The sequence below is a fragment of the Homo sapiens genome, chromosome 21, assembly GCF_000001405.40.
Source record: "Homo sapiens chromosome 21, GRCh38.p14 Primary Assembly".
Lineage (NCBI taxonomy): Eukaryota > Metazoa > Chordata > Mammalia > Primates > Hominidae > Homo > Homo sapiens.
The window spans coordinates 20,255,696-20,269,100 of record NC_000021.9 but is presented as its reverse complement, the minus strand read 5'-3'; the positions used below and the strand labels follow the sequence as shown (position 1 = coordinate 20,269,100).

Below are 13,405 nucleotides of genomic sequence, written 5' to 3'. Positions count from 1 at the left end.
TGTGTATATATTATATATAGTTTGTATTAAAGTAACAATTTTTTCAATAACAAAGCGCTAGAAAACAATTGAATAATATTTAAGAGGAAGTAAAATAGAACATAGATTTGATACTCCGTAAAATGCCAATCAAATATAAGGTCAGAAAAAAACTAAACATTAAGCAAATATATAAAAATATTTGAAAAATATATTTATGGTTATATATTACCAACATAAAAATTTAAACTAATACATAGGTATGCATACACTGTGAACTAAAATCAGGAGTACACTAAAAAGAAAATATATGTTTTGAATCAAAATGCCCACCTCCACATTTAGCCTGAATATGGGGGGACCAAAACTACCTATCCATAATTTAACTGCATATGCTAATTTGCTAGGGCTGCTATAAAAAATACCGTAGATTGAATGGCTTAAACAAGAGAAACTCAAAGTGGGGAGGCAAGGTCAATATTTACTCAGAAATTCTTGAAGCTGGAAGACTGAAATCAAGGTGCTGGCATGATTAGTTTCATTTTGTGGCTTCTCTCCTTGATTCGTAGATGACTGTCTTCTCCCTTGGCCTTAGTGTGGTTGTTCCTTTGTGCATATGCATATCCATGTCCAAATTTCTCCCTCTTATAAGAACACCAGTGAGATTGTTTTCAGGCCCACACACATGACTTTATTTTACCCTAATTACCTCTTTAAAGAACCTATGTTCAAATATAGTCACATTCTAAAATACTGGTGGTTAGAATTTCAATATATAAATTTTGGAGGGACATATTTCAGCCCATAACACTACAATAACATGATTTTGCTATTCCACTGTCTTCATTCACATTACTGTACTTTCCCAAGTGTTTGTAGTCCAGGCAAATTGTTTAATTGTTCATTATGAAACTTCCTGAAGACCCACAGCTCTTCAATTCAATAAAAATTAACAGGGTGTGACTTAAGATTCATTGAATTCTCTGCTTCAAAATCTTCATCCTGTTTTTCACTAATCTAAGACTACTGTATCGTGCATTATTCTTAACCTAATATTAAGCCCATCAACATTGAAATTCTTGCCTTAAACAAAATCTCCAATTCTCAATAAATTCTAATGTCTCCTCCCTACTTCAAGACATTGCCCAAGCTTCATAGAAACATTGCTGTCCTTTACCTTGGTCAGCTTTCTCTTAGAAACAGGTTGTGTTGTTATTTGTGGAATCCAACATTCTGCAACATGTAGCAGGCCTAAAAAGCAACCAATTTGTATTTGAAAAGAAATTCAGGGCACTGAGATGGATGCATCCAAGTATAAGTAAGATTCATTTTAACATGTAATATGGCATAAGGTGCTTGGTGTATAAAAGTGCAAAAAGTCTATTGCCTACTCTAGGTAAAACAATCTATTAAAAGAAATCATGTTTTAATTATGATATAATTTGTGACATACATTTTTGAAATTAATTCTGTGCTATGTAAAACGATACCATTTTACATTGGTGTCTAACATTCTTATTCAAATAAGACAAGTTTCATGACTTCAGTATAAATCATCCATCCTTTCCTATCAATCTTCTTGGTGGACAAAATTATACAATCATAAATTTGCAAGCAATCTACATTGGAGTTTAATTATTAGAACCAACAAAAAGGCAACAATGAAAGAAATAAAAAATCCTACCACACAAAGAGACCTCCATACTCTTAAGGAAGGAAAGAGCCAATGTATTATTGAGTATGAATCAGATTATACAAATGCGAGTACTGAGAAAGATAAAACAGTCTGGATAAAATTTCACACAAAATTATACACTAATGTAAAATTTTCCTATCTCCCTGAGAACAATTAGTTCTACTTCGAGATAGTTTCTTGTACACTTCCTGAGAGATTTTCAAGTTAATTTTAGAGGTATGTATTCACAATTCCCAGGGTGAGAAGAGCTGAGATTTTATAGTTTAAAATCAAAAGATGGGCCCTATTATATCAAACATCCTAAAGAGGTACAGAGTAGCTGCCTCCCTGTTAGTAGACAAAAAATGAAAAATAAAAAAATTATCCTCACACAACTCATCAAAACTTATATTTTCTAAATATGTTGTAGACTTTGAAAACCTAACACAAGTTTTGAAACTGACAGAAACTTATAGAAACGTATAGTTTCTAAACATGTTATAGAATTGGAAAATCAAATTATAGTTCCTGGAAGTTGGAAGATGAAACTATTTAGAAAGAGATGAGAGAGGGTTGAAGAATATATTTTCTTTTCCTACATAGTGGTAATGAGATATTATCTAAAATTAATGGATTGAGAAACATGAAACTAACAAAAATATATAAAATATTTGGTAAAGGGGAGGTATATTAAGTAAGGCAAGTTCAATAAAGCAATTTTACTGGCTATTGTTTGTTTGAGAAACTGAGGTATGAGCATATTGTCAAGATTGCACAGGTGACTACCAACAGAATTAAGAAGAAGCTGTACAATGTGCATATATCTGGTAGCAGCATTGGATAGGTGGGTAATGAAATGGCTCATTAGACTTCACAGAGCATGCTTATGAAGGACATTGTTGAGGCAACGTATACAGTACGGCCAGAGAAAGAAAGCACAGATAAGCCCTGGGTGTCAGCAAATCTTCTAGGAACAGCTCACCAGGATCCTTTCTTTGGTTATTCAGGATTCTCTTTGTCTCTGGAAAATAACCACCAGTACATATGTAAAGAAACCTGATTAAGAGAGATTGACCCGTTTCCAGTTACGACTTTTATATCCCTAGTCATGTAGTCAAACCGTATCTCTAATTAGTTATATCACCAACAAGTTAGATATAAGGTACCAGCAAGTATGTTTTTCCCAGGTTTACAAGAGGGGTAATTTTGAACTTTAAACAGTATACTATAAATCATTATGACTTCTTTTTATCATAGACAAGCGTCAAGAGCAATTGTCTAGGCTTACCAAGAGAAAAGTAATCAGAGAACTGCTCAGTCAAGCTGTAAAGTAAAAAATAACTCTGTGTTACACAGAGATAGAGTAAGATGTCAAGTGAAATATTTATCTAAATTTTCATCTACCTCTTTGAATTTAACCAATAACAATGTTCAAAAATTAATTTTTGAAAGACACGCACTCTTATTAAAGCATGTTAGCCTATTTCTTGCTCTCACACATGAATATGAAAAAGCTAACAAAACTCCATTAAAATATGCTGACCAATGAAATATGGTAATGAAATTAAATATACATGAAATTTCAGTAATATCTGTCAATGAGATTATTTTTGCTGTTATCATAATGATACAGTATCAAATTTGCTGTCATTGGATGTTTAAATTCAACTGCTTGCTCTTTGAGAAAAAATGAGAGTTTAAAAATCAATAGACATCTGATTTAGTTTTTCTATAAAAAACTAACAGATAATTATGCACATGTTCAAGTGGAATTGTATAAATTCTATTTTGTGCAAAGTTCAACAAACATGAAATGTATATTTCTAATTTACTTGGTCATGTATAATTCTAAATTATTTAAAAATTTTATTAATGAAATTTAGGCAGCTGAACTCATTGGATAAGAAAAAAAGATCACTCTTGCACTTTTTACATAGGAAACTAAACTATTTTTCCAGTAGTGTGTTCAGGTTTGTTTCTTTATTTCTTTTCTGTTTTCTGATTTTAGCTTAACATATATTTGTTGTATTCTGTTGACCTTGCTAAGTTCAGAATAAGTAACCATCTTAGACATTCTTATATCATTTTTTACTTCTCTCATATAAGTACTTACTAGTGCTTATTAAATATGTACATTGTTAGGATATGATTTTTAAAAAAAGATTTGCCTATAGTTTTCTTCCTAAGTAATAGACTTTTACCGCTGCCACCATTTGCCAAGTTCATAAAGTCGTGAAACTAAAATAAAGAAGAAAGTAATAGATTCTCACTAGACAGAAATAGGAATTAAAAGGACTTTTGGTAATGGGTAGATCAGAAAAGGACAAAGGAATAAAGTTGGGGGAATAAATGTATTGACTGCTCCATATCATTCCCTCCTGCAAACACATACACGATCACACACAGATTTCTATCAAAACTCTCATTTTAAGTGATGGGGGTGTTTTCAGAAATATCCAGGAAACTTTGGGTAAATCCCACAGTAGAAGCTCTTGTTCCTTGTCTTCCAGAGCATAGCCTTTGAAATTGTTCAGTGTCTTAGCGGCATTTGGTATCCAGCATCCTACTCCTGTCCTGCTTAAACTCTGGATTAGGAAAAAGAAAGACTGCTGGGCGCGGTGGCTCGTGCCTGTAATCCCAGCACTTTGGGAGGCCGAGATGGGTGGGTCACCTGAGGTGGGGAGGTCGAGACCAGCCTGACCAACATGGAGAAACCCCGTCTCTACTAAAAATACAAAATTAGCCAGACATGGTGGCGCATGCCTGTAATCCCAGCTACTCGGTAGGCTGAGGCAGGAGAATTGTTTGAACTCCGGAGGCGGAGGTTGCGGTGAGCCGAGATCACGCCATTGTACTCCAGCCTGGGCGACAAGAGCGAAACTCTATCTAAAACAAAACAAAACAAAAAACAAAACACAACCAAAAAAAGAAAGACGATAATGAGAATATTTAGGCAAGCGGTCCAGAGAAAAACACATCGAATCTGGGGAAGCAGAAGCAGTCAAGAAGCTCCAGAACTCCGATAGTTCAAACATGTCCTCAGAGAATTGATATATGAGTAGGTGTCTGGTGTATGAAAAAAGACTACAGAGAATAGAGACCTCGAGCATCGCATCCAAGGTAGAGAACACACACACACAGGGTGAATGAAGTACCCCTGGTTGAATACTAGCACAAGAACCATAAATAGGCACCTTAAATAGGTACCTTTTATCTTCTCTCTGACACTAGCATGTTTTAAGAACATCCTTTAGAGAAAGAGTAGGTGGGAACCGAGAGTACCCTGAGTTTAAGCCTTGAAATGATTATTTGCACTTAAAATGTGTGTATTTTAAAATTAAATTAAAATTCAATCAGTTTTATTTAAATGCCTCAGTACAAGTATGCAAGAATATCCATAGTATGCTTCTTTTCTTTTTTTCTTTTTAGACGGAGTCTTGCTCTGTTGCCCAGGCTGGAGTGCAGTGGCACCATCTTGGCTCACGGCAACCTCCGCCTTCCCAAGTTAAAGTAAGGCTTCTATTTATTGTATAACAAAATTTTATTTGGGACTAAACATTTTCAAGAAGCATGGCTTTATTTTTTATCTGCAAGCAGCGTAGTTAAAACAGTAACTCACATTTTGACTTATCTGACATATTTACTTGTTATTGGAATTTAGAGAATGAACACTAATTAGGTTGAGCTATATGAAGTGTGACATTCAACCATTCTGACCTTCAGAAATAACTTCTTATGGGTCAATCTAACTATTTAGTAAAAAGAGATCCTTTTCTACTTTTAATGGACATTGTTAGGATATGATTTAAGGAATAATTTTATTTAAAAAAGATATTAAAGATTCGTTGCTTAAACATTAGATATGTTCATGCCTCCATTTTCACAAAAATAGTACGATTCCGGCCAAGAAGAATTTGGTTGGGAAAAGCAACATATAATATTTAACTTTGAAAAGTAATAAATTAAAATTTGCTTTGAGTCAGTTTTCCCTCTTCTAAAGAGAAGAGTCAAAGTTTTTAGCATCTCAAGGAAGTAACATTTTAAATTTAAAGGAGCTTATATTTATTGAGGAAATACTAGATATAAGGTTGCATTCTAAATTATTCACAGTCAACATTTCACTTAAAGCTCAGTTTGTGGAAAGAAAATTACTATGCTCCACATTTTTTTTTTCCGAGACGGAGTCTTGCTCTGTCGCGCGGGCTGGAGTGCAGTGGCGCAGGGATGCGATCTCGGCTCACTGCAACCTCTGCCTCCCAGGTTCAAGCAATTCTCCTGCCTCAGCCTCCCAAGTAGCTGGGATGACAGACACGCACTAGTACGCCCAGCTAATTTTTGTATTTTGAGTAGAGAAGGAGTTTCACCATGTTGGCCAGGCTGGTCTCAAACTCCTAACCTCGCGCTTCACCTGCTTCGGCCTCCCAAAATGTTGGGATTACAGGCCTGGGCCACAGCGCCGGCCTATGCTCCACATTTTAAAGATAAGAGGTGATGCTCAGGTAGTTTGTTCTGCACTTGGTGTCAGCATTCCACTATTTGTGCAACACTGTGTGGTGATTTCAAACTCGGAGATGTATCTCCGCGTATCTCTCAGATGTATCTCTGCGTATCTCTCAGATGTATCTCTGCGTAATTTGAAATAGATTTTATATCACAAGTTTGGCATCTCCACACATTCATATGTAGCAATAACTAGCATGCAAATGTCAAATTTTAATATTAGACAGCTTTAATCATATTTTAACACCAAATACTTTGTACATTATTATTATTATTATTATTATTATTATTATTATTATTATTATTAAGATGGAGTTTTGCTCTTCCTGCCCAGGCTGGAGTGCAATGGCGAGATCTCGGCTAACTGCAACCTCTGCCTCCTGGGTACAAGCGATTCTCCTGCTTCAGCCTCCTGAGTAGCTGGGATTACAGGCGCCTGCCATTATGCCTAATTTTTTGTGTGTTTTTAGTAGAGACGGGGTTTCACCATGTTGGTCAGGCTGGTCTCGAACTCTTGACCTCAGGTGATCCACCCGCCTCGGCCTCCTAAAGTGCTGGGATTACAGGTGTGAGTCACCACACTGGACCAATAAAATTATTTTTATCTTTATATAAGAGTGATTAGTGTATACATCCAAACGCTAAATCATTTACAGTTTTGGTATGTTAATATTATAATGTTATTGACTTGGAAAAAATCAATATGTCTTGATTTTACTAACATATGGTCAGTTATTAACATGGGCAAAAAAATACTGAAAGATCTAGAAAGAACTTGCTCCCTAATTATGAAGAAATAAACATAGCAATATGCAATGATGTAATTACAATATATTTTATTAATAATGTTGCATTTCTGTGAGAATTTTTTACATACAGTTGGCCCTTGAACAACACAAGTTTGAAATGCACAAGTCTACTTATACACGTCTACCCTTCTACCTTGTCCGCCTTTCTAGCATCTGCCACCTGTGAGACAGCAAGAGAAACCTTTCTTCTTCCTCCTAGTCCTCAGCCTCCTCAAGGTGAAGACACGAAGATGAAGACCTTTATGATGATCTGTTTCCACTTAATGAACAGTAAGAATATTTTTGCTTCCTTATAATGCTCTTAATAACATTTTCTTTTCTCTCACTTACTTCGTTGTAAGAATATAGTATATAATACATATCACCTACAACATATGTGTTAATTGACTTTTATGCTATCGGTAAGGCTTCCAGTGTACAGTGAGCTATTAGTAGTTAAGACTTTGGAGTCAAAAGTTATATGCAGATTTTTTCCTGCATGCGAGTTGGCGCCCCAACCCCCATGTTACTCACGGGTCAGCTGCATTAGGTTATAAGATAAAAGTTCATACCCTTTTTTTACATATGAGAAGCTGAATTCAGAAAGCCAAAATGATTTGCCACACTCAAACCAGGTCTAATTTATTATGTCAGGATGTGAAGTTTATTCGTTCCCATGGAAACTACTATTTACTTTGAATCTCTTCCATACTCAGGGCATATACACTTCCCCAAGGAAGCTAAGATCAGGAAATTATTCAAAAAAAAATTTAACCACTAAAAAAGTTAAGTAAAATTACAGTTGATTTAAGATAGATATATGTTTTTATCAGAATAAAGTACATACATGTATGCATAAAACACATATATACACATAATTATATGTGTGTGTCTACACATACTTATAGTAGTATACATATGAATATATATTTGAAAAATTTTAATGAAGCAGACAGCTTTCAGGATAAAACAGGTATTCTAGAGAGGTATGTCAAATTTCTAGAGAATCCTAGACACTGAGTATAGAATAAGTTAAAGATCATACATGCATATATCTGAACTTAGATGTTATGTTCTTGAAACAGTGAGAATTACTATGACTGGAGAGATTTATTGCTGTATTGCTAAAGAGTATAAATTAAATTCCATATGTTTATTAAACTCTCACTGTATTTTAATACTTAACTTTGGCTTTTTCCAAAAGTAACATATACCTAACAAAGTTACATACACATACAATTATACATTTGTCTACATTATTAATATTTTTATAATTTTATTTTACATAGGCAGTGTAGATGTGTGTCTGGGTATACATTTAGTTGATGTAAGGATCAGAGTGTAGTGTTAGCACCGTAACAATTAAATTCCAGCTGTAAGAGAAAATAAATATCCAAACAGCCCATGTTTTTAAAAGATTCTTTGACTTTTGAAAGCGAAGTAACACAAGTCGAGAATCTTTGCTTCAAGGACATTTGTAAAGGGAGTCACCATTTCCTGTTGTTATAATTTTACCAGCGTTTCTGCTTGCTAATCACTGTGTTGTATCCATATAATCAGTGTTTGTATATTTTCTCTCATTATTTTCATCATTTGATGTGTCCCGTGCATTAGGGCCTTGACTTGATGCCCGTATTCATTCTTAGGGATATTAAATCAATTATGAAATTCTCTCCAAATCATTTATTTCCTTCCTATTTTCATTTTGTCTGCAGATGTGTTAGTTGCCCTTATTCTTAAAGGATCTTCCAATGATTCTGCTACTTCTCTGAAGATCATATTCTTGGCTGTATTTCCTCGGTTATATTTCTCAGAATATTATGTCATTTTTGGCTTTCTCTTCCTCAGGCTAATTCATTAATCACTGAGAGTTATGTCTGCCTCTTCTAACAGTCTATACAACTAGGTCCTCCAAGGTTTCTAATGACTTCTTAATCATAAAGACATTTCCTTTACCATTATACTGCTTAACCTGTCTTGTTTCATGAAGTTAAAAAAAAACAGCATAAGTTCTTAAATGGCTCATACAGATACATGAATCCATATTTTGGCATTGCCTATGTCAGTTTCAACAAGTCCTTTTCCTCTTTATACACCGAATTTAGATAAGGTGTTTTGAAAGGCTATTTAGCTGCATGTGATTTATGAGAAATCATCCCAAATACCCAACACAATTCAAGGCTGAAAAAAATAGATTATATTCCTTTTACTAATCTACGTTTTGTTTGATTATGTTACATGAGAGTAACTTTTGTTTTAAGCCCTCTATCTTTAATACATTCGTAGCACCTTACATACAGCTGTAATTAATAAATGCTATTTAAAGTATATAATTATTTTCCTTTAATTTTGGTGGAACTAAATACAACTGGGAGCTCTACTTTTCAACTTTCTACAGCATATTATCTTGGAATGGTCAGACACTCCCATGATTTCAGACATCACGTCCATAACTTTGGTCACTAATCTGCATTCCTTCCTCACTTTGACCTCTATTGAGTTCAAGTTGCACATGTTTAGTTGATAGGTTGCTGGTCCACTTGCTCCTCAAACTAAAAATAAGCTCTTTTTAAATGTTTCAACATAGTTTGTGTAAAGTGTGTGATATAAAAAATTATCAGCAATACGATTCCGCTCATTGGTATTACAACACCATTTAGATAAATAGTGTTCCCATTCTCTCAGACACTGTTTGCCCAGACACATATTATCCCTGACCAAGTTCGGACAATTAAATTGCAAATTGCATCTCTCACAAATAATTCTTCTTTTGTTCTTTTCTTGGACAACATTCTAACCCCTGCCCTGTTTTCTTTTGCCTCAAAATGCTGGAAGAGAATTTGTATGATTACGCATTTTCTACTGAATATAACTAAAGACCTCCATGACCTCACCCCTGGCCTGTCTTCTCACCACCATTCCAAGTTCTTTATCATCCCACTATTTCCTCTTATGAATCTCATTTCTCACTCACACTGAACTGGTCAGTATGATCCATGTAGCCTTCGTAAATTTCCATGTTCATTTCCATTCTTGCCTTATGGCTGGAATTCATCGGCTGTCATTTTTATCTATCTTTGTTTAAAGCTGCACATTCTGCAAGGATTAGCTCCAATGACCTATGTGTATCAAATCTTTCTTAGCTTAAACATTTAAAATAAATATTGGCTTATTTGTCCATCTACACCATTCTGGGAATTTTTATTTTCTGCAGTGGTGGTGAGGGATGTGGTGCATTTTTATAATTTTATGTTGGCTTGGCCTCTATTTTGAGCACAGGTTTAACTTTCTAACGCCAGAAGCAGGGCTCAGTCATCCCTGACATAGTTTTCAGTTCTATACCACATCCAAATGGCTCAAGCCGGTGGCTAGAGATAAGAACTTAGCAGCATTTTTCTCACCTAGCTGACTGGTTCCCCTTTCTTTAAACAGACACTCCAGGCACTTGTTTGTGAACTTAAAGTGCCCCACATCCTATTTCCTTATGCATACTGCTAACTGCCAAAATATTCTCTCTCTGTCCACCTGACCCTCCATTCCTGCTTCCTGTGACCTGGGAATGGAGAATTACCCTCTGGACTCCTTGTGCCCTCCCTGCTCAGGATATGTAAGTAAAAGTCATTGCGCTTTTTTCTATAGTGGTGGTGTACTGAATTTATACCTTCCATCTGAAAAATTAGGGACATCTGTAGGTCCTGGAACCAGAGTGATGGTAAGGTAGGTATAAGCTGGGCATGGATCAGACAAGAGCCACAAGGGCACTGTCAGTACAAACAAGTTTCCCGTGTGAAAAGCCCCCTGGTCATGGGTCAAATAACTAGGTATTAGGTCACCCACCAGCTAAAATAATGTCCTGTGAGAGGCACACTGTAAACACTCACATCCAACTCCCTGTATATCCTCTTAGGGCAGGGTTGCCAGCTACTTTGGTACTGGAACCCCTATTTAGTTGCAGGAGGGGGCTCTCAAAACAGGAGAATTTATTATTATGTATCTTACCCTATACATTGTCTATATTTTTTCTCCATTACAATTTTGCTAATACCGGGGAATCATTGATTCAATCATAGATGTTTGTATTTCTGAAATTTTTAGGAACGTATCTTGTATATCCTTCTGTTACATCTGTGTATATCTTTATAACATAAAAAATATTCCTGCATATATTATACTGTTTTATTGCTCTAAAAGCTTCATGAGGAAGAGAGAGAGATAAAAATGGGATAAAATACTATATGACAGGGCAATTGAGGTGAGCTCATAACACATTTTATTCTCATTTAATCAATACCAAAACAGTGGCTTTGAAATATTTGGAGGTTTGTAAATGTTACAGCCATATAATAGAGGCTCAAAAACTTCTTCATAATGATTTTAACTCTAGGATCTGGGAATTTGGAATGCAAAATAAATGTTTAACATTTTATAAAGATAGATCTTTGTTTTTATATTAATGTGTGAACATAATTGCTGTTACGGGTTGAATGCATCCTCTACAAAATTCATGTTGAAACTTAATCTCCATTGTGATGAGATTAAGAGGTGAGGGCCTTCTGGGAAGTGATGAAGTCATGGTGCTCTGTCCTCATGAATGGATTAATAAAAAAGAGGCTTCAGCAAGAGTTTGCCCCTTTTTGCACTTGTGTCTTCTGCCATGGGAGGATGTCACTGTGAGAGGATGCCATCGATGGAACAAGCCCTTACCAGACACTAATGCTTGCACCTTGATATTGAACTTCTCAGCCTCCAGAACTGTGAGAAAATAAATTTCTCTTTTTTATAATTTACTCAGTCTGTGCTATTCTGTTATAGCAGCACAGAGGGACGAAGGCAATTGCCTACCCTGCTTGAGAGATGCAGAGGCCTGGTGTGGAGTTAGCAGTATTATGAGATTGGATCAGCCTGGATCACTGAATCACTGCATGTAGGACACACTATGGAGAGTTTCTTGTGCCAAGATCAGACATGGTATATGCAAGAATAAATGTGTGCGTGAATCAAACCAGAGGTTGTGTTTATTTTTTAATTACTATATTGTATTCTTGCTAACCTGACTAATCCAGCCAGCAACCTTACAATTCTAATTATCTGACTGTAGATCCTCCCAGGTTGTCTATGTACATAAACTTGTCCTCACTTTGCAAAAGCTAACTATCTTGTTTCTTTTTTTTCCAATCATGTCAACTTAATTTTGGCTTATTTGTTTATTTATGCACTGAATGTTGAATTGAAGAGATATGGTGAAAATATTTTACTTGCTTTTGATTTCGAAGGAAAAGCTCTTAAAATTTACTATTAAATGGAATTATTATTGCAAGTTTTTATAAACTAAGGAAATTACTTGTGTCATTCTATTTAAGATTCTTTTCAATTGGATCATGCACTGGTATTGAACATAATCTAATAATTATTTTAAATCCATTGAAATAAACATGCTGATTTTCTTTAATCTTCTAATCCAGACACTTACATCGGTGGATTTTCAAATGTTCATTCGATTTTGAATTTTGGGGGAGGATTATATTTTTAAACCACTGTTGGATTTAGTATTTTAATATTAATGTTAAATTTCATTTATAGTTATGAGTGCATTAATTTGTAGTTTCTCATTCTCCTACAGTTTTTGTATCAAATTTATATAAGATTCATAAATTTGAAGAGATTTGTTGTTCTTGTTTAATCTTGTTTTAAGGCTAGAATTATTTACTCCACAAATGTTGCAAAGAATTCAAATTAAAATGATTCGGGAATGATGATAACTGTTTGGTTATTATTTAAGTATTGATTTTGTTATTTGATAATGTGAGACTACTCATATTACCTATTTTTAGTTAGGCATGGAAATTTTTTTCTAGTTAAATTTCAATTTAAAAGAACATTTTCTTATTTGAGAGTATAATTTTCTATCACATTTTAATATTTTTACTACATATTGAATTTTATCTTCTTTTCAACTCCTAATTGTATCTATTCATCAATTTTGTCACAAGTTGATCAATTTTATTAGATTTGAAATTACAAGAATTTACATTTGTTGATTCTCTGTGTGTGTGTGTGTGTGTGTGTGTGTGTGTGTGTGTGTGTGTGTTTGTTTTAAATGAGCTATCCACCGCCGTTATTCTGTTATTCCTTTTATAAACTCCTAAGTTAGAACCTGGGCATGGATTTCCTTTCCTCTCAAATAAACATTTAAAGATAAAATTATCCTGTTAAGTATATTTTCAAAAGTTTTTACCTATGTTATGATGGCAAACAATTCAATGTAAATAAATTCTAATTTCTATTGTGACTGATTCTTTTACCTGTGTTTGGCTTCAGTGCAGCTTATTATACTTTCTAAATTGTTTCTTTTAGTTATGTTTTTGGTTGATTTCCAAATTACATTATGGTCAGTAAAAGATATATATAATATCATTTTTTAATTACTGAAGTTTACTTTGCTAATTATTTTAAGGTCAATTTT

At 34.5% G+C, this 13,405-nt stretch overlaps 1 long non-coding RNA gene across 1 annotated transcript; it reads left to right on the top strand.

The window, feature by feature from the left end:
• The first annotated feature begins 10,415 nt into the window (after positions 1-10,415).
• LINC02573 (long intergenic non-protein coding RNA 2573) lies at positions 10,416-12,239 on the top strand. Its single transcript, NR_151724.1, has 2 exons — positions 10,416-10,549; positions 11,755-12,239. It is a non-coding gene; the product is annotated as a long intergenic non-protein coding RNA 2573 (long non-coding RNA).
• The last annotated feature ends 1,166 nt before the right edge of the window (positions 12,240-13,405 follow it).